We start from the raw sequence: 26,793 nt of genomic DNA, 5'->3' as shown, positions 1-26,793 counted from the left end.
GGGATACGTAATTAAAAAAATTTTTTAAAAGCTCTGTTTTATTTTGTTTTATTTAGTAAGTGTGTGTGTGTGTGTATATATATATATATATATATATATATATATATATATTTTTTTTTTTTTTTTTTTTTTTTTTTTGAGACAGAGTCTCACTCTGTCGCCCAGGCTGGAGTACAGTGGTGCGATCTCAGCTCACTGCAAGCTCCACCTCCTGGGTTCTCGCCATTCTGCTGCCTCAGCCTCCTGAGTAGCTGGGACTACAGGCGCCCACCACCATGCCCAGCTAATTTTTTTTATGTTTTATTTTTTAGTAGAGATGGGGTTTCACCATGTTAGCCAGGATGGTCTTGATCTCCTGACCTCGTGATCCGCCCGCCTCGGCCTCCCAAAGTGCTGGGATTACAGGCGTGAGCCACCGCGCCCGGCCGAGAATATTCTTTCTTCATACATCCAGACTTATTTCTTAAAATGTTTACTATAAAAGTTTTCACACACACACAAAAGTAGACAGAATGGTGGAACGAACTGTTTTTCTTTGCTGCAGTAGATTTAAAAGCAAATGCCCAGTCACTACAGATATCAATATGCATCACTGGAAAACAACTGACAGCATTTTAAAAACATAATTACTGGTGGAACTAGAGAGGATGTTAAGCTTAACTTAGAGAATGTAAATAACGGTCAGGGATGAATGGGTATTTTTCCACTTAGATATGTTAGTGGTCAAGTTCCTCAGGACAATGTTATGTTTTTTTCCATGCCGTGGTGGGGTGAATGCACAGAGACTTTGTAAGATTTCCTGGCATTAAGATGATCTAAGGGCCGGGTGTGGTGGCTCACACCTATAATCCCAGCACTTTGGGAGGCTGAGGGGGGTGGATCAGAAGGTCAGGAGATTGAGACCATCCTGGCTAACACGGTGAAACTCCGTCTCTACTAAAAATACAAAAAAATTAGCCGGGCATGGTGGCATGTGCCTGTAGTCCCAGCCACTTGGGAAGCCGAGGCAGGATAATTGCTTGAACCTGGGTGGTGGAGGTTGCAGTGAGCCGAGGTTGCACCATTGCACTCCAGGCTGGGTGACAGAACGAGACTCCGTCTCGGAAAAAAAAAAAAAAAAAAAAAAAAGATGATCTATGGAGGAGAATGCCCATCTGAGTGGTAGAAGAGCCCCTGAGGCTAGGTGAGGGTGGACTCAATTAAATCCAGTAATATTTCCATGTCACTTGGGAGTTCCTGGTTGCAAGCCACAGAAATGGCTCTGAGTGATGGGCAAGACCAAAGGGGTCAAAATTTCACCCGGAGTGGCTGGTTAGCAAGAGTTCTCAATTCTTTTCTTCTCCTTCTTCTCCTCCTCCTTCTTCATACCTTCACTTGCCTTTATTATTTTTTCTTCTTTTTGAAGGCTGAGCACGGTGGCTCCTGCTTGTAATCCCGATGCTTTGGGAGGCCCAGGCAGGAGGGTCGCTTGAGCTCAGGAGTTTGAGACCGCCTGGGCCACATGGCAAAACCCCATCCGTATAAAAAATACAAAATTAGCCGGGCGTCATGGTGTGCACCTGTAATGCCAGCTACTTGGGAGGCTGAGGTGGGAGGATTGCTTGAGCCTTGGAGGTAGAGGGTGCAATGAGCTGTGATCATGCCACTGCACAGTCTGAATGACAGAGGGAGACCCTGTCTCAAAAAACTAAAAATAAATAAAGAAATAAACTGTTAGCATGTTGCCAGCTTTTGAAAGTCATTGTGCTAGCCATGTAGTGTTATCTTACTGTGGTTTCAATTTGCATTTCCCTAATGATTATGATTGAGAGTTTTTAATGTCACTCTGGCCTGGAATGCGGTTGAGTGATTTGTAGAATAGACTGGATTTTTTTTAATGCCAAATAAAGGAACTATTCATTCATTATCTTGGAATGATTAGAAAAGCCATGAAACCTGCCAAGGATTTTGCCCAGGGCGGGGAAAACCCACCTCCGGAGAAAGGCTAGAGCTACCCTATCATTGCCCTGTGGAGTTTGTTTGTTCCGTGAAATGGCGACACCCTTCGCACTCCTCTTTCCCTCCACACCCGCTCCACCCTGCCACACTTTTGCTCCCAGATGGCGTGCCCCTCATTTTTCACCTGTAGAATTCCTCTTTAAGTGAATGTCACATCCTTTTGAAGCATCTAGGGGCCAGGCATGGTGGCTTACATCTGTAATCCCAGCACTTCGGGAGGCTGAGGTGGGAGGATCCCTTGAGGCCAGGAGTTGGGGATTAGCTTGGGCAATGTAGCAAGATCCTGTCTATACAAAAAATGAAAAAAAAAATTAGCTGGGCATGGTGGTGTGCACCTGTAGTCCTAACTACTCAGCAGGCTGAGGCAGGAGGATTGCTTGAGTCCCAGCATTCGAGGCTGCAATGAGCTATGATTGCACCACTGCACTCCAGCATGGGCAACAGAGTGAAACCTCGTCTGCAAAATGCATGCATGCATGCATGAATGAATGAATGAATAAATAAATAAATAATAGGGCTGGGCATGGTGGCTCACACCTGTAATCCCAGCACTTTGGGAGGCTGAGGCAGGCGGATCATTTGAGGTCAGGAGTTCAAGACCAGCCTGGACAACATGGTGAAACTCTATCTCTACTAAAAACAAAAAAAAATTAGCTGGGGGTGGTGGCGGGCCCCTGTAGACCCAGCTACTCGGGCGGCTGAGGCAAGAGAATTGCTTGAACCCAGGAGGTGGAGTTTGCAGTGAGCTGAGATTGTGCCACTGCACTCCAGCCTGGGTGGGCGACAGAGCGAAACTCCATCTCAAAAAATAAAAAATAAAAAAGCATCCAAGATTTCCAGAAGCTTCCAGACATAGCTTGCAAAATGATGTTGTGGAAAAAGCGCAGCCTCATTTGGATGAGCTCCTTACTACCTGTGTGGCTTTGGGCAAGTAATTGCTTTAAGCCTCATTTTCCCCAAGTGTAAAATGGGGATAAAATAATACCTCAGAGGTAGCTATTAGAGATATCGTCATTGTCGTCTTGTTTTGATTCCCCCCCCCCCCCCGAGATGGAGTCTTGCTCTGTCGCCCAGGCTGGAGTGCAGTGGCGTGATCTCGGCTCACTGCAACCTTTGCCTCCCAGGTTTAAGCAATTCTGCTACTTCAGCCTCCAGAGTAGCTGGGATTACAGGCGTGCGCCACTAAGCCCAGCTAATTTTTGTATTTTTAGTAGAGACGGGGTTTCACCATGTTGGCCAGGCTGGTCTCGAACTCCTGACCTCGTGATCCGCCTGCCTCGGCCTCCCAAAGTGTTGGGATTACAGGCGTTAGCCACCGCACCCGGCCTTGTTTTGATGATTAATCTGCCTCTATTACAGGCTTATTTGGCTGTACCCTGGCCGCTTCTTTCCTTATCCCTCTCCCTAGCTGCTCGCCATAAAGAGCAGGCTGTACTACTTATGTCCGCTGTGTCCGTCCATGACACAGAGTTGGCAAATACCAGACCCTCAGCACATTTGTTGAAATGGATGAATCTCAAAGGATTCTCTGGGAATCTGGTGGCTAGAGAGGGGTCGGGACCGCGAGGGACTCTCGCGCTCAGCAAGGCGAGGAGCTGCTTTCCTGGAGTATGGAAACTGAGTCAGCGCCTCCCTCCCTCATAACCAAGGGCCTGCGGGACTGTCTGAACACGTGGGTTTGACAGGTCAGAAAAAGGGAGAACCAAGAGAGTGGATGCTCAGAAAACATGAATGGGAAAGACAGACTGAGAAGGAGGAAAGTGGGATGGAGAGGGCCAGCTGAGACGTGGGCCAGGAGCCGGAGCGGAGATGAAGGGTGAGGACCGGGGCGGGGGACGAGCTGCGAGGAGGGTTTTGGGCCCTGGGGACTGCGTGGTAGCAGCGGAGGCGGGTACAATGCTCCGACGCAGAAGGAAGAGCGTCGAGGCTCCGGGTGGGACCTGAGAAGGCACCCGGCGTGCGGCGGCGCTGGGTTGGAACCGCCGACTCCGCGGGTCTTCGGCGGCGGGCGCTGCAGGTGCAGGAGGCGGAGCCACGCGGGGGCGGGGCCTGTCGGGGCGGGGCCGACGAGGGCCGGGGGCGGGGCGCGCCGCTTGTCTCCTGCGAGAGCCGCGGGGGCCGCGGAGCTGGAGCCGGAGCTGAAGCCGGAGCCGGGTTGGAGTCTGGGCGGGGGCCGGGCCGGAGCGGGCTCCAGAGACATGGGGTCGACCGACTCCAAGCTGAACTTCCGGAAGGCGGTGATCCAGCTCACCACCAAGACGCAGGTGCGCCACGGGGGCCCCGGCGTCCCCATCCACCTGCCGGGCTGGGGGCTGGGCAGGGCCGGGGGTACGCGAACTTGGCTCGTCGGGAGATGGGGGGACGGGCGGGCCCCGAGCGTAACGCCAAGGCCAGCGCCGGAACGGGACCCCGCGGCCTGTACCTGGAAGCTCCATCCCCTGGCCCTAGTCCCCCACCCTCAGCCTCCTCTCCTGGGAACACCCCTCTCCCCGAAGCCGCTGCTGCCACCTTAGGCTGACGTGTGCCTACTCCCCGAGCCGGCGACACAGCTGTCCGCCCCCTGTCCCGCCCCGCGGCGTCCCCAGCTTCGCATCTCCAGCCTCCCGCCGCCCCCACCCACCCATCCACCGTCCGCTCCCCTCCCTGCCCCTCATTGCCCGCGGGTCCCGGACGCACAGTCCCTGTTGACTCAATGCAAACAAAGCCTGGCTGGCGTCCGCCCGGGTCGGAGAAACAGCTGGTGTGCGCGGCAGCGGCCTCGCTGGGCCCTGGTCGATGCCCGTGGGCAGGGAAGGCCCAGGTCTTCCTGGGAACACGCAAAGAGTGGCGGGCAGCGAGGCAGCCTGGTGGGGGGCCCTGTCCCCAGGCCTACTGAGCACAGCCTCCCAGCTGGGGACCTCTCCAGGGGCCTTCCCCGAGGCCCTGCAAGGGAAAGGCTGTTAGCCTGTGTGCTCTGTTCTCTGGCTCAGGGATGGGGACCCGCAGGATGGCCCTCAGTCAGCTGGTGAGGGGCCTAAGGACCCTCCAGCCTAGTCCATGCTCATAACTCTCCTGTGAGTCCACAAGTGGCCCAATAGCCACCTCCTTATACCACCTGGCCCCAGCAAGACTGCTTCTCTGCCCACCCCTTCTCTCCTGGCTTTTTGAATCAGGCCACCGTGGCCACAGAGATGCTCGGCCCTGACTCCCCATGTCCCCCATTTTCAGGGGACACAGGACCTGCTGCCATCTGGGATCTTCCTCTTTCCTGGCCCCCCCACCTCCTGCTCTCCAGGGCTCTCTCTTGCTGCTGGAGGTTAGAGTGGGATGGAGGAAGCCAGCTCCCACAGCCAGCTGGTCACAGCTCCAGGGGCCAGACCTTGCTCCCTCACCCCTTTCCCCACCCTGGAAGGGTCAAATGTGCAGCAAATGCCCAGGGCCTCTGGAGAGTCCAACCCCGGCTGAAAGGCTCTTGATAGAAACCAGACCGCACTTCTCTCCATTCCCTACGGCTCCTGGGTCGTTCTGGAGCTTGGCTTTTTTAGGATGGGGTTTTCGTTCTGTGGGTGGCAGGGAAGGTGGCAAGTGGGCTAGCCCCTCAGTGTAGGGCTGCAGGGAGAGGAGTGGGGAGGCAGGGAGGAAGGGAGGCTCCCATGTTTACCTGCCTGGGGAAGAAACTCCTTGTTGGAGGATTGCACTGTGGGCTCGGCAGCTGGGGTCCTTTGCCAGGCCAGTGGGGCCAGCTCAGCAGAGTACCAAAGGCTCTGGAGTGGCCTAGATTCCTACCTGCTCAGGCCTTTTCCCCAAAATACTGTGTCCCTCTGTCTTTCCCTGGCTACAGCCCTATGATGGGCCACTTGAGATGGTGCTGTTCTGTTTCCCAGCTGAGTAGGCTTGGAATAGAACCTGGATAGGCTGGAGATCAGACCAGCCTTCTGGAGAGCACTGGGTCCTGTAGGCGGACGGGGGCCTGGGCTGCCCGGGGGGAGAGGCCTTCAGAGGCTGAAGCCTTGGACTCTGTGTAAGTGACCTGACTTGGGTAGCTTGGGTGTGAGGATCAGAACCCAGATGATCATCACTGACCTTACCACTTGGAGTCCCCAAGGAGATTCAGGCCAGTTGTCCATAGGATGATATGTGGTTCCAGGCTCTTACAGGGTGTGGCTTGGGCAGTAGACAGGCAGAACTAGCCCCTTTTCCTGTGGCCTGGGCCTGTATCCCTGCTGCTCCACCTTCCTCGCCTTCCTGCCCTGCATCCTGTTTTCTTCCTGCCCCATGGTCCAGTCCTGGGTCAGGCCTGACCCTGGTCCTAAGAGCCAGCCGCTTTGGCTGTGTTTCCTGGTGCTTCCTCATAGTAGGTGGGGCTCTGGAGGGAGACAGTCCCAGACCTGGAACCCTCTCCCAGATCCTGCCTGTTTGGAATTCTCTGCTGCAGGCCAGATGAACCTGGCGGGTGCATATTTACATGTGTATACATGTATGTGCATGGGAATGCATGGTGACACAGTCCTCTAGAGCAGGCTTAGCAGGCTTGAGGACTAGGGGACCTTCCCCCTGCACACCCTGAGAGTCAAAAGATACAACTGCTCCCCCAGGTCTGAGTGGGGGTCTAGTCCGAGCAGGGGCCTGGAAAAGCTGGGTTAAGAATATCTGATTTTGGGCCGGGTGTGGTGGCTCATGCCTGTAATCCCAGCACTTTGGGAGGCTGAGGTGGGAGGATCACCTGAGGTCAGGAGTTCGAGACCAGCCTGAGCGACATGGAGAAACCTCGTCTCTACTAAAAATACAAAAATTAGCCAGGCGTGGTGGAACATGCCTGTATTCCCAGCTACTCGGGAGGCTGAGGCAGTAGAATCGCTTGACCCCAGGATGCAGAGGTTGCGGTGAGCTGAGATCATGCTTCTAGCTTGGGCAACAAGAGCGAAACTCTGCCTCAAAAAAAAAAAAAAAAAAGAAAAAAGAAAAATCTGATTTTGGCCAGGCGTGGTGGCTCATGGCTGTAATCCCAGCACTTTGGGAGGTGGAGGCAGGAGGATCGCTTGAGCCCAGGAGTTTGAGACCAGCCTGGGCAACACAGCAAGACCCTATCTCTAAAAAATAAAAAAAATTAGCTGGGCTGGGTGGGGTGCGCCTGTAGTCCCAGCCACTCAGGAGGCTGAGGCAGGAAGATCACTTGAGCCCAGGAGTTCAAGGTTACGGTGAGCTATGATTGTGCCACTGCACTCCAGTCTGGGCAACGGAGCAAGACCCTGACTCAAAAACAAACAAAAGAAAAAGAATAAGGGGAGAAGAATACCTGGATTTTTACCAGGGTAGCTCAGTTTCTGTGGCCCTAGCAGCAGGGGCCTGCCTACCTCCAGCAAAAACACTTCCTTCAAAGATCAGATATTGGCTAGGTGCGGTGGCTCATGCCTGTAATCCCAGCACTTTGGGAGGCTGAGGCGGGTGGATCACGAGGTCAGGAGATCGAGACCGTCCCGGCTAACATGGTGAAACCCCATCTCTACTAAAAATACAAAAAAATTAGCCGGGCGTCGTGGCAGGCGCCTGTAATCCCGGGGGCTGAGGCAGGAGAATGGCGTGAACCCGGGAGGCACAGCTTGCAGTAAGCCGAGATTGCACCACTGCACTCCAGCCTGGGCCACAGAGCAAGACTCGGTCTCAAAAAAGAAAAAAAAAGATCAGATATTAGAAGCTTCCTTGGGCGGGCTGGGTGGAGGCCAACTGGGGTCATTGAGGCAGGCGCTGAGCCACGTTTCTCCCATTAGAAGCCTAAGGGGCCTCAGTGACCCTGACTAATGCCTGTAGCATCAGCTTGGCCTGGGCAGGTGGTCACCAAATCCGAATGTCCAAGCCACAGTGGGACCAGGAGAGGAGGCCCAAGCTGAGGAAACAGGGAGGCAAAGTCCTGTTCCTAAAGTTCAAGGCTGAGATCTGTCATGGCTGGGATCTCTCCTCTGCTTCCAGAATGGGCTAGTAAGTCTCTTTCTTCATTTTGGATTTAGTCCCCCGGTGACACTGCCTGATGAACTAGGTCAGAGGTCATGCCTGCTTGTGCTTAGTTTCTGCCCTTTGAAGGGGGTAGTAGCTACCTGGGAGGTGGGAAAAGTGTCAGGGATGGCGGCTTCCCAGAGGCACTCCCAGATGGCTCTGTGGGTTTCCTGGGATGTCCTTCCTTACCCCATCCTGGCTCCAGGCCACCCAGACTGGGGTGCCATGTCCCTGCGCTCCAGGGAGTGCCAGAGGGCTGTCCTGGCTGAGGGCCCAAGGGCCAGCAAACCCCAGCCCCAGGGCCCTCCTTTAGCCTTTGTTCCTCTCCCCCAGTGAAGAACTCGCTCTACCAGTTCTGGGACTGAGAGTCATGGCCACATGTTACCCTGCAGCTCCCTGGGGTGGGGTGGGGGTGTTTGCTCTGGGAGTGGGCTGGGGTATGCCTGGACCTTGGTGAGGCATGCGACCCCAACTCTGAGTTTGGAGAGTTCCACGGGTGCTCAGCCCTGCTCTGTGGCCAGGCTGAAGGGGTCCCCAGGACTGAGCGCAGCTTCAGTGGAACAAATATTGGCTGAATATCTGCCATATGCCTTACTGGCAAGGTCAGGGACTGATGGGGCTTCAAGGCACGTGCACCCAGACTGTGGAGGCAGGAACAACGCAGGGTGGGGGTGGGGTGGGGCCGGAGGTTCCCAGGTGGGAGCAAGCAAGCCTGGGGCTCTGGGAGGCTTCTTAGAAGAAGTAGCTTCAGAGACCAGAATTATTATTATTAAATATTTAGAGACAGGGTCTCACTCAGTCATGCACGCTGGAGTACAGTGGCACAATCACAGCTCACTGCAGCCTTGAACTCCTGGGCTCAAGTGATCTTCCTGCCTCAGCCTCCTGAGTGGCTGGGACTACAGGTGCGTGCCACTACACGTGGCTAATTTTTTCTTTTTTTTTTTGTAGAGATAGTCTCACTATGTTACCCAGGCTGGTCTTCAACTTCTGGGCTCAAGTGATCCTCCTGCTTCAGCCTCCCAAAGCTCTGGGATTACAGGTGTGAACCACTCTGTCACCGAGGCTGAAGTGCCATGGTACGATCCTGGTTCACTGCAGCTTCCTGGGCTTAGGCAGTCCTCCCACCTCAGCCTCCCAAGTAGCTGAGATGACAGGTGTGTGCCACCATGCCCAGCTAATTTTTTTGATTTTTTTTGTAGAGATGGTATTTCGTCATGTTGTTCAGGCTGGTCTCAAACTCCTGGGCTCAAGCAATCCATCTGCCTCAGCCTCCCAAAGTGTTGGGATCACAGGTGTGAGCCACTGTGCCCAGCCATTATTATTATTATATTTTTTATTTTTTTGAGACGGAGTCTCACTCTGTCGCCCAGGCTGGAGTGCAGTGGTGCGATCTTGGCTCACTGCAACCTCCGCCTCCTGGGTTCAAGTGATTCTCCTGCCTCAGCCTCCCCCAGTAGCTGGGATTACAGGCATGTGCCACCATGCCTGGCTAATTTTTGTATTTTTAGTAAAGAGGGGTTTCACCATATTGGCCAGGCTGGTCTCAAACTCCTGACCTCGTGAGCCACCCACCTCAGCCTCCCAAAGTGCTGGAATTACAGGCGTGAGCCACCGCGCCTGGCCTATTATTATTATTATTATTTTTGAAATGGAGTCTCACTCTGTCACCCAGGCTGGAGTGTAGTGGCACGATCTTGGCTCACTGCAACCTTCAACTCCCGAGTTCAAGCGATTTCTGCCTCAGCCTCCTGAGTAGCTGGGACTACAGGCATGCACCACCACACCCAGCTAATTTTTGTATTTTTAGTAGAGACGGGGTTTCACCACATTGGCCAGGGTGGTCTCGAACTCCTGACCTTGTGATCCATCTGCCTTGGCCTCCCTAACTGCTGGGATTACAGGTGTGAGCCACCTCACCTGGCCATTATTACTTTTTTGAGACAGAGTCTTGCTCTGTTGCCCAGGCTTGAGTGCAGTGGTGCCATCACAGCTTACTGCAGCCTTGACCTTCTGGGCTTATGGGATCCTCCCACCTTAGCCTCCTTAGAGGTTGGGCAGGCCCACCTGGTGAATTTGTTTTTATTTTTTGTAGAGATAGGGTCTCTACAAAAGCCATGTTGCCCAGGCTGGTCTTGAACTCCTGGGCTCAAGCAATTCTCCCACCTTGGCCTCCCAAAGTGCTGGGATTACAGACATGAGCCACCACGCCCGGCCCCAGAATTATTTTTAAATAAGATATATATTTTTTTCTGATGATAAGAGTAACATGTATGAAGTGCAGGCTTGTGGTGGTAGCAGGGACCTCAGGTTTTATTGGCTGTAGGATTTCAGAGAAGGAAAAAAGCTGTGTTGGAGAAAGCAGGAAGGTGTCTTGCAGGAAGTGACACTCAGAAGGAGCCATAAAGGGATGGGCCCGAGGAGGTGCGCGTGCCTTGGACACTCTGGTCCCTTAACAGATGAACATTCAAAAGGAAAAAAATAGTAACATGTGCTCTTACAGAAAAACATAAAGAAAAATATAAAACCACCCAGAGAGAGAGTTGCTACTAACATTCTGGTTCATTTTCTTCTAGTCTTTTTTTTTTTTTTTTTTTTTTTGAGACAGAGTCTTGCTCTGTCACCCAGGCTGGAATGCAGTGGCGCGATCTCGGCTCACTGCGACCTCTGCCTCCTGGGTTCAAGCAATTCTCTGCCTCAGCCTCCTGAGTAGCTGGGATTACAGGCACCCGTCACCATGCCCAGCTAATTTTAGTGTTTTTAGTAGAGACGGGGTTTCACCATCTTGGCCAGGCTGGTCTTGAACTCCTGACCTTGTGATCCACCCGCCTCAGTCTCCCAAAGTGTTGGGATTACAGGCGTGAGCCACCTCACCCAGCCTCTTCTAGTCTTTTATTCATGTATAATTTAACATGAATTGTGAGCATCCTAGACGAAGTTTTATATCTTGTGTACTTTTTTTTTTTTGAGATGGGGTTTTGCTCTTGTTGCCCAGGCTGGAGTGCAGTGGCATGATCTTGGCTCACTGCAACCTCTGCCTCCTGGGTTCAAGTGATTCTCCAGCCTCAGCTTCCCGAGTAGCTGGGATTACAGGCGCCTGCCACCACGCCTGGCTAATTTTTGTATTTTTAGTAGAGACAGAGTTTCACCATGTTGGCCAGGCTGGTCTCGAACTCCTGATCAGGTGATCCACCCACCTCAGCCTCCCAAAGTGCTGGGATTACAGGCATGAGCCACTGTGCCTGGCTGGGCATGTGTGTTTTTAAGGCCTGTTGCCTCCGTGGGAATGGATTTTGGAATGCATTGTTGTGGGGAAAAGGGGAAGGGGGAAGAGAGAACAGCTTGGGTGAAGGTCAAGAGAAGAGATGGCAGGGTGGAGTCCTGGAGTAGTAAATGCAGGTGTATGTGTGTATGACACGTGTGTACGCATGTGTGTCTGTGTGCACGTGTGTAAGGCATGTTTCTGTGAGATCTTGGCTGAGTGCTGGGCTGAGGTTTGGACTTGTCCCAGCAGGCAGTGGGGAGCCCCTGAAGGGCTCTGGGTGAGGAAGCAGTGCCTGTGGCAGCGGTGCCGTGGTGCATGCAGGATGCCACCTCGGTGCATGCGTTGGCAGCAGCATAGAGGCAGGGTTGAAAGAGGTGGATTTGAAGTTGGCAGCCCTGGCAAGGGCAGCCTGAGCTGCAGCGCTGGAGGTGGGCGCTGAGAGGGGCGTGTTGGGGTCAGAGAGCCACAGAGGTGAATTCACCAGATGTGGCAGCTGTTTTGGGTGTGCTGTGAGAGGGCAGAGCCGGAGGCCTGTGGCGGGCATCCTGGGTGACTGGAAACGGAGTACAAGTCACCTTTGTCTTCTTCCCATGGAGAGAGGGCATGGTCTTGACCTGGATCCCTGAGCATTTGACCTAATGGTGTGGCCTGGGGCTGTGCCCAGGTGGGGAGGTCAGCCTGCTTTGCCAGGGGAGGATGGTGACTTAACCAGGGTCACACACCTCCTCAGGGGTGGCGTTGGGCTTTGGCTGACTCTGTGCCTAGCTGACCCCTGACCATGCATGCCTGGTGTCTCCAGCCTGACTGTGCTGTCCAGGGGTTGTGGTGGCTGAAGTATGTCCCCCACCCATGTGGGATGGCTCTGGGACCCCAGCAGGTAGGGGGACTCTGGCTTCCCTCTCAGGGTCTCTCCTGGCCACAAGTTGGGCAAAGTGTAGGCCCTCTGGCCAGGAGTTGTGTAACTCTGGACCCTTGGTCCCCCCACAGCCCGTGGAAGCCACCGATGATGCCTTTTGGGACCAGTTCTGGGCAGACACAGCCACCTCGGTGCAGGATGTGTTTGCACTGGTGCCGGCAGCAGAGATCCGGGCCGTGCGGGAAGAGTCACCCTCCAACTTGGCCACCCTGTGCTACAAGGTGAGGGCTGCCCAGTCCCTCCTGCTACTCTTCCACCCTCCCAGCCCACAGCAGGAGAAGGCAGGCGCATCCAGGGCCTCCCGCCCCACAGGGGCAGGCAGCCCTGTGGCCTCACTCAGCTCTTCCACTTCTCTGTGGTTCTCTTTGCTGGGCGTTGGGACCACGGCAGCCGTCATTTATGGGGGAGTCCTCCAGGCCACATCTGACTGAGCACCTTCCACAGATCAGTTCATTTAGCTCCCTCTGTGGGGTGGGTACTGCCAGGGTCGCCAGTTTACAGATAGGGAAACTGAGGCTGGGAGACTCACTTAGCAAGGCCTCAGCCATCCAGTGGCTAGCTGGGCCCTGGCTGTCCTGATGCTCCAAGCTGCTCTGGCCTGTGTCCCAGTCCCCCAAGGCTGGCCGACCCCAACTCCAGGTGGCTCCTCTGCCTGTGGCCCCACTGTCTCTCCTCTGCAGCCTGGGTGCCCCCCCTGACCCTCCTCTGCAGCCTGGGTGCCCACCCTGACCCCAAGTGCCAGGGTCCTTTCCCCACCTTCCAGCCTGCCCTCTGCTCCTGCCTGCCCCCACAGGCCGTTGAGAAGCTGGTGCAGGGAGCTGAGAGTGGCTGCCACTCGGAGAAGGAGAAGCAGATCGTCCTGAACTGCAGCCGGCTGCTCACCCGCGTGCTGCCCTACATCTTTGAGGACCCCGACTGGAGGGGCTTCTTCTGGTCCACAGTGCCCGGGGCAGGGCGAGGAGGGGTCTGTGGGCCTGGCCAGGGCTGGGTGGGAGGCAGAGTTGGCGTCACAGGGAGAGCGCCCTTTAGGGCCGGCCATGCTCCTCCAAGCCTCTTCTGGGATTTGGGAAGTACAGGGGTGGGGCCAGTGGGTGCTGCTGAGGGATGGTGTTCAATGCCACCTCCTTGGGCCCTCAGTTCCCCTCCCATGGGGGTTTCTGTGCCCACAGTCTGGAGGAAGTAGGGTATGGAGAGAAGCTGAGAGCCAGGGGTCACTGGGCAGAGGTGGAGGCAGAGGAGCTGGGCCCTCTGAGGGCCGGAGAGGGACCACACTGTCCTCTCTCCCCCACACCACCTGCCCTGGGTTTATGTCCAGGTGAGGTGCTGAGGGATGCAACACAGTGATTCCTAGCAGGGCTGAGACTCTTGATGTTGGGGTCACCGCCCGGCCCCCTCCAGTCAGTAGGGGAGGTTCCCTCGCTGTTCCCGGCCCGGCTCCCTGCTGTGCCCCACTTCTGCCTTGGGAGGTTTGGGGCAACCAGGAGTCCACTTCCTGTCCCTTCATTCCTCTGCCCATGGGTGCCCGCCTGGGCTCAGCCCCTGTCCTCCACCACCCCCAAGCCCTGGGCCACCTCTTCCTGGCCAGCTATCACTGAGGCAGCCTGTGGGTGCTGTGTCCCCAGCAGGGAGAAGAGGATGATGAGCATGCCAGGCCCCTGGCCGAGTCCCTGCTCCTGGCCATTGCTGACCTGCTCTTCTGCCCGGACTTCACGGTTCAGAGCCACCGGAGGAGCACTGTGGTGAGTGTCCCCCAGCCCCCCACCCCCAGGCGGAGTAGGCTCTGGTCCTGGGTTGGGGCCGGGCCAGTTGAAGTTCCCTTGGGCGGATTGCACTGGGGGCCGGGGGGCTCCAGGAGAGCTGAGCTGCCTGGCACATGTAGGCCTGGGTGGCAGCTGGTACAGCTGAGGGAAGCCAGCTGGGGCTGGCCCTGCCCGCTGCGTTCGGATGGCTGGGCACAGACACCCATTGTCTTTGCTTGCCCAGGGGTGTGGGGCTCAGACACAGGAGGGCTGGCCCTCTTGCTTCCTGTGGTGGCATGGACTTCACCTTGAGTCTTCTCTGCCCACCCCCAAACCCGGGGCACCCAATCCCCTGCCCCTCCCTCCCTTTCTCCCTGTCCCAAACTGGACTGAGCAAGTGAAAGAACCAGTCTGAGATGGAAGAAAAATGAGCTTTCAAGAGGCCTAAGAATATTCACTCCTGCTCTTGTGCATGAGGGCCAGGCCATTTTGAGGACCTGTCTTTAGGAGAACTGGCGGTCTCTGCCCCTGGGACTGTGTGAGGCTCGAGGTGGCCAGGTTCTGACCCAGGCTGCTGTTCACCTCTCGACCCCCTAACCCGGCTTCTTCCTGGCCTGTCCCCAGGACTCGGCAGAGGACGTCCACTCCCTGGACAGCTGTGAATACATCTGGGAGGCTGGTGTGGGCTTCGCTCACTCCCCCCAGCCTAACTACATCCACGATATGAACCGGTGAGCTTCGCCCAGGCCCGGAGCCCTCAATGCAGCTGGACCCCGGGCCGGGCCCCCGCACAGCTCAGAAAGCCCATGGGGTCTTCCCAGAAGACCGTCCTCACCTATGACCCGACCTTGACCTTACAGGGGTCAACGGGAGTAACTTCCTTCCATGGACCTGGGCTGGGGCGCTGGGCTGGGTGGGCAGAACCTCCAAGAGGGGACTGGGATCCTAAGGTGCCCTCCCCCTTCCTCCTACAAGGATGGAGCTGCTGAAACTGCTGCTGACATGCTTCTCCGAGGCCATGTACCTGCCCCCAGCTCCGGAAAGTGGCAGCACCAACCCATGGGTTCAGTTCTTTTGTTCCACGGAGAACAGGTGAAGGGCCCTTGGCCTTTCTGCGCTCTCTTCCCTCTTATTCCAGGCAATCCAGAGCTGAGTCCATTCGCCAGCTCTGGGTCTCGTTTGAGGGGAGGTGCTGCCCCCTGGTGGTGATGAACTTTAACTTACCAGCCACACCTCACACTAGCCCCGTCTCTCCTTGGAGTCCTCGACAGGACAGAATCTGGGGGCCCCTCAGTAATCCGTCCCTGGGTCCTCCATCAAGAGCCGCCTGTCCAGTAGAAATAGAATGCAAACCACGAGTGCAATTTTAAAATTAAAAAAGTTAAAAAGTAAAATTGGGCCAGGCGCGGTGGCTCACACCTGTAATCCCAGCACTTTGGGAGGCCAACGTGGGCAGATTACCTGAGGTCAGGAGTTTCAGACCAGCCTGGCCAACATGGTGAAACCGTATCTCTACTAAAAATACAAAAATTAGCCAGGCTTGGTGGCGGGTGCCTGTAATCCCAGCTACTCGGGAGGCTGAGGCACGAGAATCGCTTGAACCCGGGAGGCGGAGGTTGCAGTGAGCCGAGATTGCGCCACTGCGCTCCAGCCTGGGTGACAGAGTGAGACTCTGTTTCCAAAAAAAAAAATAAATAAATACAATAATTAATAATATATTTCATATAACCCAATATACCCCAAACTTTAGCATTTAACATGGAATCAGTATACAACATTACTGAGCTGTTTGACATCCCCCTTTTCATACTAAGTTTTCAAAATCCAGTGTGTATTTGTCTTGGTTCCGATCAGCCACATTCCAAGGGCTCGACAGCTCCTTGTGGCTTGAGGCTGCTGTGTGGGACTCTGCAGCTTAGAGACCGGGTCGGGGAGTGTGTGACAAATACCTCGAAGGGCAGGGAGGCCCAGCCCACATGGGGCACTCATGGACTGTGGGGGACACGTGAGCACGGGGTGGGGGGAGGGTGTCACACGTGCCACGTGGCAGAGTTGAGTATTTGAGCAGGTAGCTCCCACTGGGAGCTGTGTTGGCTGCATAGGGTCTGTGCCCGGCAGGTGGCGGTCGACCTCCGCCTTCCAGACTCTGGTCCCTACATGACACGCCTTATTCTTCAGGTTTCCTAGCCTTCTGTTCAACCTTCCACCCTACTCCAGAAGAGAAGGGAGCCAGGCGACCCCCTCCACCAGCCACAGTCCGAGGCTGGCCAGAGTTTTCTTTCTCACCAGCCTTATCAGGCAAACTGCCACCCTTTGTCCCTCACTTAACCTCTCTGGGTCTCAGCTTCCTCATCTGTAAGCTGAGCAGCTTGAACCCTGACATCTCTTGAGTCTGAGTGGAGTCATTCTGTGGCTTGGGAGCTGGTTGGCTGAGCGTGGGCTCTGCTCCCTGAGGGGAAGCCCACCTTCTCCACAGGCCTCCATTCCCATCTCTGAGGACCCAAGGGAGGGTATCTGCCCCTTAAGACCCTAAGGGGTATGAATGTGTCCTAATCATGGCTCTGGGCTTCCCACACCCACTCTTTCCAAGCCACTCCCTGACGTGGTGCTAAAATGCTTGTTGAATGAGGCTGACCTTCCCACGTGGCCAGAGAGGTGTGGCCAGGGGGCTGGGCCCCAGTGCAGCCTCTGCAGCCTTGTCCCTCTCCTGCTGCAGACATGCCCTGCCCCTCTTCACCTCCCTCCTCAACACCGTGTGTGCCTATGACCCTGTGGGCTACGGGATCCCCTACAACCACCTGCTCTTCTCTGACTACCGGGAACCCCTGGTGGAGGAGGCTGCCCAGGTGCTCATTGTCACTTTGGACCACGACAGTGCCAGCAGTGCCAGCCCCACTGTGGACGGCACCACCACTGGCACCGCCATGGATGATGCCGATGTAAGGATGGGAGCATGGAAGGGACAGCTGCCGGGGCCACGGGTTGTGGGGAGGACGCCTGCTCACCAGGGGCTTCTCCTCTTGGCAGCCTCCAGGCCCTGAGAACCTGTTTGTGAACTACCTGTCCCGCATCCATCGTGAGGAGGCAAGTCCAGTCCCCACAGTGGCTTTGCAGGGTGCAGGGGGATGCAAGTGAGACAGGGATATGGGGGATCCTGACCCCTCCATGAAGGAACCATGCTCTCTGTGGGCTGGGGCCACCCTAGGTGAAATAGTGGCAGGACTGTGAGGGTTTCAAGATGCAGGAAGGGCTGATGGCCTCACCTGGGTAGAGGTAACTGGGAAGGCCTCTAGGAGGAGGTGGCTGATGTCATTTCAGAGGTGGTGGGGACAAAAGGGGAATGACAGTGGACAAGGGCTTCAGGCCAAGCAGTCCCAGTTCATGTGTCTTGTGATCTTGGTGGGAAGGTGCTTGAACTCCCAGAGTTCTAACTTCTGCAGCTAAAACACAGGACCCTAGCTGCCTTCTCACCCCAGCTAGTGGCAGGCCTCAGTAAATGACAGAACAGTGGAATGCTCCTCGAGTTGTGATGGGGTGATGGGGGAGTATTTTGGGGAGGGGTAGAAGGATGGAACCTGCCAACCATGAGTCCAAGGTGGGCAGGGACAAGGTTGAGGGTGTGCATGTGTGGGAGTTCACTGAGAGCAGCAGCCTTGCTCAAGGGGCGCACAGCCCAAGGACAGAGAGTCTGCAGTCTAGTGGAGGGGCCAGGGCTGTCCACAGCTATGAGGGACTCCGCTTCCTGAGGCATCGCCCCAGGACAGCTATGGGTGATAGCATCTGGGCCCTCTGGCTCTGGAGGTGGGATCTGGCTCTGGGGGATGGAGGGGGGGATTTGTTGGGGGCCTGGGCTGGGAAACTGGAGCTGCAGGGATTGGGCTGGACAGGCCCCCTGCTCTGCCCTCGCCCCCAGGACTTCCAGTTCATCCTCAAGGGTATAGCCCGGCTGCTGTCCAACCCCCTGCTCCAGACCTACCTGCCTAACTCCACCAAGAAGATCCAGTTCCACCAGGAGCTGCTAGTTCTCTTCTGGAAGCTCTGCGACTTCAACAAGGTGGGCCAGCCTCGAGGGGCCCTGCAGGGAGATGGAGAGCAGCTGCCCCAATAACCCGGGGGCAGGGACAGTGTCAGACTGAGGGGGGTGGGGCAGAGCTGCCCCTCCCTTGAACTCAGCCCACTTGGCCCCTCCCCGCACCCCTAGAAATTCCTCTTCTTCGTGCTGAAGAGCAGCGACGTCCTAGACATCCTTGTCCCCATCCTCTTCTTCCTCAACGATGCCCGGGCCGATCAGTGTAAGACCAGGGTGGGGGTGGGATGCTGGGGGCTTTCCTGGCGGCGAGGTGGAGGGCTGGCTATCTGCCCTGACTCCCAGGAGCTCAGGCCTGGCACTCTGACCTCCTAGGAGGGAGGCCTCCAAAATGGTCACTGCCTGGGCCCCTCCTTCCCCCTCCCACCCGAGTGACCCCTCCCACGCCACCTGCCGCAGCTCGGGTGGGCCTGATGCACATTGGTGTCTTCATCTTGCTGCTTCTGAGCGGGGAGCGGAACTTCGGGGTGCGGCTGAACAAACCCTACTCAATCCGCGTGCCCATGGACATCCCAGTCTTCACAGGGACCCACGCCGACCTGCTCATTGTGGTGAGGGGGCTCGTGCGGCCGGGCCCAGGAGGTGCAGGGGTGGTGTCCTCTTGGCTGAGTCTGGAGGCAGCGGGGACCCCACGGTGCCTCTGTCCCTCCTGGCACAGGTGTTCCACAAGATCATCACCAGCGGGCACCAGCGGTTGCAGCCCCTCTTCGACTGCCTGCTCACCATCGTGGTCAACGGTAGGGGCCCGGAGCTTGCACTCCCCGCGCTCACCACCAGGTGGTGTCAGGCCACAGGCCAACCTGCCACTTGCTCCAGGTTTCAAGCCCCTCCAGCCCACAGAAAGAACGCAAGCTTGTGTACCCTTCATAGTAGCCACATTAAAAAAAAAGGGTGACAACAATTGAATAATATGTTTTATCTATCATCATCTCAACATGTAGCCAATATGAAAATTACTAATGAGATATTTAATATTCCCTTCTCACACTCAGTCTTGTCGCCCAGGCTGGAGTGCAGTGGCACCATCTCAGCTCACTGCAACCTCCGCCCCTTGGGTTCAAGCAATTCTCATGCCTCAGCCTCCTGAGTAGGTGGGATTACAGGCGTGTGCCACCACACCTGGCTAATTTTTGTATCTTTAGTAGAGACGGGGTTTTGCCATGTTGTCCAGGCTGGTCTCGAACTCCTGACCTCAGATGATATGCCCACCTCAGCCTCCCAAAGTGCTGGGATTACAGGCATGAGCCACTGCATCTGGCCTTTTTTTAAAAAAAAAAAATTTAACAATTTTTTTTGACATCTGAAGGAGGTTAGCCCAGTTTATGGGAGCCACTGGTAGTCCGATAACATTTTTACTTTATTTATTTATTTATTTTATTTTATTTTATTTTTTATTTTTAAGACAGAGTCTCACTCTCTGTTGCTCAGGCTAGAGTGCAGTGGCACAATCTCCATTCACTGCAACCTCCCAGGTTAAGTGATCCTCATGCCTCAGCCTCCCAAGTAGCTGGGATCACAGCATGTGCCACCACAACTGGCTAATTTTTTTTTTTTTTTTGTATTTTTAGTAGAGACAGAGTTTTGCCATGTTGGCCAGGCTGGTCTTGAAGTCCTGGCCTCAAGCAATCTGCCTGCCTTGGCCTCCCAAAGCGCTGGGGTTACAGGTGTGAACCACCACACCCGGCCATATTTCATTTTATTTCTAATTATAGTGACGGGATCTCACTATGTTTCCCAGGCTTGTCCTGAACTCCTGAGCTCAAATGATCCTCCTGCCTCAGCCTCCCAAAGTGCTGGGATTATACAGGCGTGAGCCACTGTGTCTGGCCTCTTGTGTGTTTCATATGTGCAGCACACGTGTTAGGACTAGCTGTGTTTCAAGCACGAAATGGCCACACGTGGCTGATGTCCACTGTGTTGGGCAGTGCAGGTTTGGACATTTGGAGTCACAGTGTATGGGGATGTGGAGGCCCCACCCTTTCTGCCTTTGTCCTCCCTGTCCAGCCCCTACCCCCACCCAGCAAGGACTGCACACAGCTGCTGGGGAGAGGAAGCAGAAGGAGCCAGGCTCCCTGGGGTTCAGGACCTAGCAAGGCAGGTGGCCATGGGCTGGGGCAAAATGCCTTCAGTGTGAACATCTTTTGGAGAGGATGGTTGTGGCTAGGGGTGGCTGGTCTGTCTGTGTTCTGGTTTAGACTGCAGGGTGGGTAGTGTGCGGTGGTAGAGGCCTCTAGCTGGGCTGTGAGCTTTGGGGTCAGGACTGTCCCTTCCCCTCCTGGTTCACTCTCTGGCTCCATCTCACAAATCTTAACTGAGCTGGTTCCGAGAACACACTTGTGACCAAGACAGCCCTGGTCCCTGCCCTGTGGAGCCCTCAGCCTAGTGAGGGAAAATGACACAAGACAAGGAAGTGTTCAGATCAGCATGGAACTTCAGTCTGGGTGTGCCCCCAGGGTTGGGTCCCAAAATACACCTCTAGTGACATGGCAGCTTGACGTTCTAGAAAGATTTAAAGTCTTGAGTTTGTATCCCTGCCCGATCATTTCATTACTGGGGAACTTGGGCCAAGTTTACAACCTTCTCTGAGCCTCAGTTTCCATGTCTGTAAAATGGGGATGATCTTGTCTGTGTCCTGCCTCCCTCGTGGTATGGGGGGGACTGGCATGGGTGGGATGTGTATGGCTTTATAAGCAGGACAGCTGTCTTCATGGTCGAGGGGTGAGGGTGGGGCCTAACTGCCTCCCAGGACTCTGCACACAGTATGGCCAGTGTGGACTCAGCCTCTTAGGGCCTTGGTCGTCCTGGCTCTGCAGGGGGCAGGGAGGGATTGAGAGCAGGAGCCTGTTGTTCCACCCCGGCCCAGGATGTGCAGGGATGGCTTGGCTGAGGGGCCCAGGAGTGAGCTGACCCCTCCCTTACAGTGTCCCCCTACCTCAAGAGCCTGTCCATGGTGACTGCCAACAAGTTGCTGCACCTGCTGGAGGCCTTCTCCACCACCTGGTTCCTCTTCTCTGCCGCCCAGAACCACCACCTGGTCTTCTTCCTCCTGGAGGTCTTCAACAACATCATCCAGTACCAGTTTGATGGTGAGGCACCAGCCTGAGGCCCTGGTGGTCAGGGTGGCCAGCGGGCCTACTTCCTACATAAGGGGGGCACAGCCCAGGAGGTGGCCTCTGGGAGGTGCTGGCCTGCTTGCCTTCTGCCCCCAGTTCATTCATTCAGTGTACATTTATTGAGCATCTACAGTGTACCTGGGTGCAGGGGATGCAGTGGGGAACAAAGCTTTGCTTCTTGCCCTGTGGAGCTCATAGCTGGGGATGGAGGCAGGGAAGGAGGCTTCAAACAGATGATGGACATCTGAAATTTTTTTTTTTTTCCCGACGGCGTCTCACTCTGTCGCCCAGGCTGGAGTGCAGTGGCGCGATCTTGGCTCGCTGCAACCTCCGTCTCCCAGGTTCATGCAATTCTACTGCCTCGGCCTCCCAAGTAGCTGGGATTACAGGCGCCCCCCACCATACCTAGCTAATTTTTTGTATTTTTAATAGAGACAAGCAATCTGCCTGCCTCGGCCTCCCAAACTGCTGGGATAACAGGCATGAGCCGCCACATCTGGCCTGAAATGTGATAAAAGGGAAGTACAGAGTAGTAAGTCCCTGATGGGTATCTTAGCAGCCCGTCTGCCCAGTGTCACAGACATCCGGCTGCCTGCTGTCACTTCAAGCCTTGCCACTCGTTAGCCCTGTGACCAGGGCACGTCACTTGACCTCTCTGATCCTCAGTTCCCTCATCTGTAAGGTGCTCATAACAATGGTTCTAAGGGTCCTGGTCTCAGAAGGTGTTGGGAAGATGGGGCAAAATAACCCCCAGAAGGCACTTAGCACAGTGCCTGGCAACTTAAAAATGATCAGTTTCTATTATTGCTATTTCCAAAGTCGGGCAAATTTGCAGTGATCTCTGAGGGAGAAATAGGGGTAAGGTGGGGCAAGAGACAGCACATGCAAAGGCCCTGGGGTGGGATGTTGGAACTGAAAGTGAAGAGTATGGCATAAGGCAGGACCAGAGATGGGGACTGGGGCCTGAGAGCCAGGAGAAGTCAGCGTTGGGGGATGGACGGATCCTCTGTGACTTCTCCTGGCCACCTTGCTCGAGGGGAGGTGGGAAGAGAGTCAGAATATTTAACAGCTGGCCTGACGTGGATGCTGCCATGCTGGGGCCTGTACTTTTTGCCAGGTGTTAGCTGTTTAGTGCTGGGTTGTGGCGGGAACTCAAAGGCACTGGGGCGGGGGTGTTGTGAGGTGCTCAGGCCTGACATTCTGGGATAGCCATAGTGGGCACACACAGCCAGTGCCAGCCCTGCCCCAGCACCCTCTCTTGGGCTCCCTGTACCATCTCCAACCCCTTGGGCAGACACCCTCCTGTCCTCCAAACTCCCCCTTCCAGGAAGCCCACCCAGATTGGACGGGGGGAGCTGGAGGGGGCCTCCCTGAGGCGAGGCATGCTCCCTGCCCACAGGCAACTCCAACCTGGTCTACGCCATCATCCGCAAGCGCAGCATCTTCCACCAGCTGGCCAACCTGCCCACGGACCCGCCCACCATTCACAAGGCCCTGCAGCGGCGCCGGCGGACACCTGAGCCCTTGTCTCGCACCGGCTCCCAGGAGGGCACCTCCATGGAGGGCTCCCGCCCCGCTGCCCCTGCAGAGCCAGGCACCCTCAAGACCAGTCTGGTGGCTACTCCAGGTCTGGTGCTAGTGGATGGGACAGGAGTGTGGATACTGGTGTGGCTGGGGGAGGGACATGGTCTCGGGGTGTCACCCCCATCTCTGGCAAAGAGCATGGCTTATGTATGGAAGCCGAGGGGATGGGGCTGGGCAACAGGGATGGGGGGAGGGTACTGGATGGGCTTAGCATATGTAGCTTGGTGTTGGGGGCAAAGCCTCAGGGCGAGTGTAGACTCTGGAGGGATGGGCACAGGGATGGGGGAGGGTACTGGATGGGCTTAGCATGTGTAGCTTGGTGTTGGGGGCAGAGCCTCAGGGCGAGTGTAGACTCTGGAGGGATGGGCGCAGGAGAGGGCGTTACAGTGATCAGACACTGCCTCTAGAGCCGGTGGAGGTTCCAGAGGGAAGCAGGAGTAAAACAAATAAAAATAAAAAAGTGGGTGGAGGAAGGGCTAGAAGGGTCACTGTGGCAGGGAGTCCTCACTCCCACCTGTGCCCTGCCCAGGCATTGACAAGCTGACCGAGAAGTCCCAGGTGTCAGAGGATGGCACCTTGCGGTCCCTGGAACCTGAGCCCCAGCAGAGCTTGGAGGATGGCAGCCCGGCTAAGGGGGTGGGTGACGGGGACTCCTGGAGCCGGGCGTGGCTGGCCCTTCCCTTCCTCCCTGGTCTCTGCAGTAGGGGCTGGGCCGGGGCACTCTGGGGTCACCTGCAGCAGAGGGGCAGTTACCCAGTGCCCAGGGCATTAGGGTCAGCGCTGCTGACTCCCTTGGGGGTGGGGGCCTTTCACAGACCCCTCCCTTGTTTACTGGTTCCGGTGAAGCCCTTGGCCTTCAGACTTCTCATCCCTCCGCCTTATCTGAGCTGGCCTTTACCCGGCCTGCCCTGTCAGCTGCTGGCCTTAAACCTGTCACTAGGTTGGGCTGGGCCTAGGGCCTGGGGCAAAGGCTGCTGGGCTGGGCCTTCCCCTTTGTGGGATTTCCAGCTGCCAGTGGAGAGGGCTCATTGCCCCCCACTCCACCCCTCACCCACCGCCACCATCCCTCACCCCTGTTCCTTTCTGGGGGCCAGGAGCCCAGCCAGGCATGGAGGGAGCAGCGGCGACCGTCCACCTCATCAGCCAGTGGGCAGTGGAGCCCAACGCCAGAGTGGGTGAGGAGGGACCCTGTGCCAGGCGAGCGGGGGCTGGGGTTTGGGCAGATGGTACTGAGGCGGGAGCTGGGTTGGGGCTCCTTGGCCCAGGGAAGCTCAGTGAAGATGGCAAGATGTCCGAATCAAAGGACCCTAGCATAGAAGCCTGACTCTGGGTCGGTCCTTCCGGCTGGTGACATCCCATGTGTTCAGCCTCTCTGGCTCGGTTGCTTCCTCTGTCTACACTGTTGCCAGAGTCCCCAGCAGGATTAAGCTCCAGGTGCCCACAGTGCTCTCTTCCTTAATAAATCACTCTTTCCGACTTCCTCCCCTGAATCTCATCCCCACGCCCTGTGTCTCCTGAGATCACGCCAGTTGCGCTGGGACAGGGATAATTACCGTCCCTGCCTGACCACGCTGTTGTGAGGGCTAAAGGCCACAGTCTCCCGAGAGGCACGTGGCACAGCTCTGGCTTAACGCGGGGCCATGGCGCTTGCCATCAATAAGGATTAACTCTTCCCGGGTCCTGCTTGGTGCCAGGCTCATGCTGCAAGGAGCAGGGGTACTTTCTGCCTTGGGGAGCCTGTGGTTCTGGGTCAGGGTCAGGCTTGCCCCGCAGCCTCCGGGGGCTGCTTTCTCAGCCCCAGGAACCCCGTCCCTCGCCAGGTCCTCTCCTGGAAGTCGAAGCTGCCGCTGCAGACCATCATGAGGCTGCTGCAGGTGCTGGTTCCGCAGGTGGAGAAGATCTGCATTGACAAGTGAGTCGGGCGCCGGCAGGGCCGGGGGTTGTGGGCGGGGCCGGGGTTGTGGGCGGGGCCGGTGGTGTGGGCAGGTGGGCTCTGGGCGGGGCCAGCCTAGGCTTAGGTAGGCGTGTGATGGGAAACATGGGTCTTGGGTGGCCAGGGTGAGCCCCGTGCTCCCCTGGACCACGTGAGTGTGCTGGAGATACCCCTCTCCCCGCAGGGGCCTGACGGATGAGTCTGAGATCCTGCGGTTCCTGCAGCATGGCACCCTGGTGGGGCTGCTGCCCGTGCCCCACCCCATCCTCATCCGCAAGTACCAGGCCAACTCGGGCACTGCCATGTGGTTCCGCACCTACATGTGGGGCGTCATCTATCTGAGGTGGGCCCCGGGGAGTGGGGTGGTGTCCACCTGAGAGCCTGCCCAGCAGGGCTCAACAGGGACCTCAGCTCTGGGCCCCACCACCTATGGTGGACTTCATGTCAAGACAGTCAACTAAGGCGGCCTTGCCTGGTTGACGGTGGCACCCGCTGCCCAGGGTGGGACATCGGGATGGAAAGGGTTGGCTTGGCCATTCCTGCTGCCCAGCTCCTCCTGGTGCCTTGTCTGCAAGGTGCCCCAGCACCTGGGTAACCCCCCATTTCCTCCACAGGAATGTGGACCCCCCTGTCTGGTACGACACCGACGTGAAGCTGTTTGAGATACAGCGGGTGTGAGGATGAAGCCGACGAGGGGCTCAGTCTAGGGGAAGGCAGGGCCTTGGTCCCTGAGGCTTCCCCCATCCACCATTCTGAGCTTTAAATTACCACGATCAGGGCCTGGAACAGGCAGAGTGGCCCTGAGTGTCATGCCCTAGAGACCCCTGTGGCCAGGACAATGTGAACTGGCTCAGATCCCCCTCAACCCCTAGGCTGGACTCACAGGAGCCCCATCTCTGGGGCTATGCCCCCACCAGAGACCACTGCCCCCAACACTCGGACTCCCTCTTTAAGACCTGGCTCAGTGCTGGCCCCTCAGTGCCCACCCACTCCTGTGCTACCCAGCCCCAGAGGCAGAAGCCAATGGGTCACTGTGCCCTAAGGGGTTTGACCAGGGAACCACGGGCTGTCCCTTGAGGTGCCTGGACAGGGTAAGGGGGTGCTTCCAGCCTCCTAACCCAAAGCCAGCTGTTCCAGGCTCCAGGGGAAAAAGGTGTGGCCAGGCTGCTCCTCGAGGAGGCTGGGAGCTGGCCGACTGCAAAAGCCAGACTGGGGCACCTCCCGTATCCTTGGGGCATGGTGTGGGGTGGTGAGGGTCTCCTGCTATATTCTCCTGGATCCATGGAAATAGCCTGGCTCCCTCTTACCCAGTAATGAGGGGCAGGGAAGGGAACTGGGAGGCAGCCGTTTAGTCCTCCCTGCCCTGCCCACTGCCTGGATGGGGCGATGCCACCCCTCATCCTTCACCCAGCTCTGGCCTCTGGGTCCCACCACCCAGCCCCCCGTGTCAGAACAATCTTTGCTCTGTACAATCGGCCTCTTTACAATAAAACCTCCTGCTCCACATTCTGACTCTGTGGTTGAGGCGAGGGGCCAGGTGTGGCTCTTGTCTTCAGGGGAGCTGGGGACTCTGCACCCCAGAGGGCCCCCAGTGCATGACTGGGAACCAGCATTTGTTATTTTCTTGGGTGGGAAAGCAGGATCAGACCCTGTCACCTAGGGTTTGGGCCCCTGGGCTGTTGCTGCCCAGAGAAAGAGCCCACAGGAGAGGCCATGGGGCCTCACCAGGCAGCCACTGAGACAGCGCTGGGAGGGCTATGCTTGCTAGTGACTCACTTCGGTGGGGGTGGGTGAGGAGGAGGGCAGAGCCTCACCTGCAGGGCCAGGGCTGCCCTCTCTGGCCTCGTCCCAGGCAGAGCCCACTGTTTGCACTGGGCTCAGGGAGACGGATGGCCTGCCACACCTGCCCTTTCTCTTCCGTTCCTGCCCTACCTGATGGCTCAGGAGATGAGCCAGGCCTGGGACCGGCAGCCAGGGGCCACAGCCTGCATGGTGAGCCCGCTGCAGAATGTCACCGGGGGCTCTGTCCTAGAGAGAGGGTGTGCTGGGGAGGGGTGGGGGTGGAGAGACACGAGCCCGGACTTGTCTCTCCCACCTCTTCCCCCGGATCAGACCAAGGAAGAACTGGGTTAGACCCCTCCTGGCCCGGAAGCAGGACTGTCCCAGCCCCACAGCCCTACTCAAAAGG

The 26,793-nt window shown here is 56.7% G+C and overlaps 1 protein-coding gene and 1 long non-coding RNA gene across 5 annotated transcripts, besides 8 other annotated features; one reads left to right on the top strand and one right to left on the bottom strand.

The window, feature by feature from the left end:
• Window positions 1-1,124: 1,124 nt before the first annotated feature.
• HID1-AS1 (HID1 antisense RNA 1) lies at window positions 1,125-6,164 on the bottom strand. The gene is made up of 3 exons (NR_110878.1): window positions 6,061-6,164; window positions 2,123-2,285; window positions 1,125-1,687 (listed from the first exon to the last, which is right to left on the bottom strand). It is a non-coding gene; the product is annotated as an HID1 antisense RNA 1 (long non-coding RNA).
• Window positions 4,030-4,139: a silencer, noted in NCBI's record as "silent region_8947". NCBI's record gives its function as "represses an Ori minimal core promoter by ATAC-STARR-seq in GM12878 lymphoblastoid cells {active_cell/tissue: GM12878}" and the evidence as "EXISTENCE:reporter gene assay evidence [ECO:0000049][PMID:35858748]".
• On the top strand, window positions 4,094-26,111 carry HID1 (HID1 domain containing). 4 transcript variants are annotated; one of them, XM_005257226.3, is made up of 19 exons: window positions 4,094-4,262; window positions 12,221-12,370; window positions 12,943-13,113; window positions 13,775-13,888; window positions 14,513-14,619; window positions 14,864-14,980; window positions 16,605-16,827; window positions 16,916-16,972; window positions 17,802-17,942; window positions 18,090-18,180; window positions 18,375-18,526; window positions 18,634-18,712; window positions 20,897-21,061; window positions 22,488-22,715; window positions 23,202-23,308; window positions 23,767-23,847; window positions 24,493-24,584; window positions 24,790-24,948; window positions 25,220-26,111. In XM_005257226.3, exons 1-19 carry the CDS (start codon window positions 4,197-4,199, stop codon window positions 25,281-25,283), a joined length of 2,364 nt encoding a protein of 787 aa, XP_005257283.1. In that variant the 5' UTR covers window positions 4,094-4,196; the 3' UTR covers window positions 25,284-26,111. The 4 variants fall into 4 exon arrangements, with proteins under 4 accessions (XP_005257283.1, NP_085133.1, XP_047291717.1 ...); NM_030630.3 differs by having other exon boundaries at window positions 13,772-13,888; XM_047435761.1 differs by lacking the exons at window positions 23,202-23,308; window positions 23,767-23,847; window positions 24,493-24,584; window positions 24,790-24,948; window positions 25,220-26,111 and having other exon boundaries at window positions 13,772-13,888; window positions 22,416-22,557.
• Window positions 11,831-11,989: a silencer, noted in NCBI's record as "fragment chr17:72960959-72961117 (GRCh37/hg19 assembly coordinates)". NCBI's record gives its function as "represses an EF-1alpha promoter that drives an FKBP-Casp9 reporter gene in an ReSE screen in phorbol 12-myristate 13-acetate-treated (for megakaryocytic differentiation) K562 erythroleukemia cells {active_cell/tissue: K562(+PMA)}" and the evidence as "EXISTENCE:reporter gene assay evidence [ECO:0000049][PMID:32094911]".
• Window positions 13,054-13,554: an enhancer, noted in NCBI's record as "H3K4me1 hESC enhancer chr17:72959394-72959894 (GRCh37/hg19 assembly coordinates)". NCBI's record gives its function as "activates a minimal SCP1, AML or CMV promoter by ChIP-STARR-seq in naive H9 embryonic stem cells {active_cell/tissue: H9 hESC(naive)}" and the evidence as "EXISTENCE:reporter gene assay evidence [ECO:0000049][PMID:30033119]".
• Window positions 15,845-16,139: a silencer, noted in NCBI's record as "tiled region #11423; HepG2 Repressive DNase matched - State 12:CtcfO". NCBI's record gives its function as "represses a minimal TATA promoter and a strong SV40 promoter by Sharpr-MPRA in HepG2 cells {active_cell/tissue: HepG2}" and the evidence as "EXISTENCE:reporter gene assay evidence [ECO:0000049][PMID:27701403]".
• Window positions 15,845-16,335: a biological region, named in NCBI's record as "Sharpr-MPRA regulatory region 11423".
• Window positions 16,066-16,335: an enhancer, noted in NCBI's record as "active region_12724". NCBI's record gives its function as "activates an Ori minimal core promoter by ATAC-STARR-seq in GM12878 lymphoblastoid cells {active_cell/tissue: GM12878}" and the evidence as "EXISTENCE:reporter gene assay evidence [ECO:0000049][PMID:35858748]".
• Window positions 16,346-16,415: an enhancer, noted in NCBI's record as "active region_12723". NCBI's record gives its function as "activates an Ori minimal core promoter by ATAC-STARR-seq in GM12878 lymphoblastoid cells {active_cell/tissue: GM12878}" and the evidence as "EXISTENCE:reporter gene assay evidence [ECO:0000049][PMID:35858748]".
• Window positions 25,778-26,736: an enhancer, noted in NCBI's record as "H3K4me1 hESC enhancer chr17:72946212-72947170 (GRCh37/hg19 assembly coordinates)". NCBI's record gives its function as "activates a minimal SCP1, AML or CMV promoter by ChIP-STARR-seq in naive and primed H9 embryonic stem cells {active_cell/tissue: H9 hESC(naive and primed)}" and the evidence as "EXISTENCE:reporter gene assay evidence [ECO:0000049][PMID:30033119]".

Source organism: Homo sapiens, chromosome 17 (genome assembly GCF_000001405.40).
Source record: "Homo sapiens chromosome 17, GRCh38.p14 Primary Assembly".
Lineage (NCBI taxonomy): Eukaryota > Metazoa > Chordata > Mammalia > Primates > Hominidae > Homo > Homo sapiens.
This window is presented reverse-complemented; position numbering and strand designations above follow the sequence as displayed.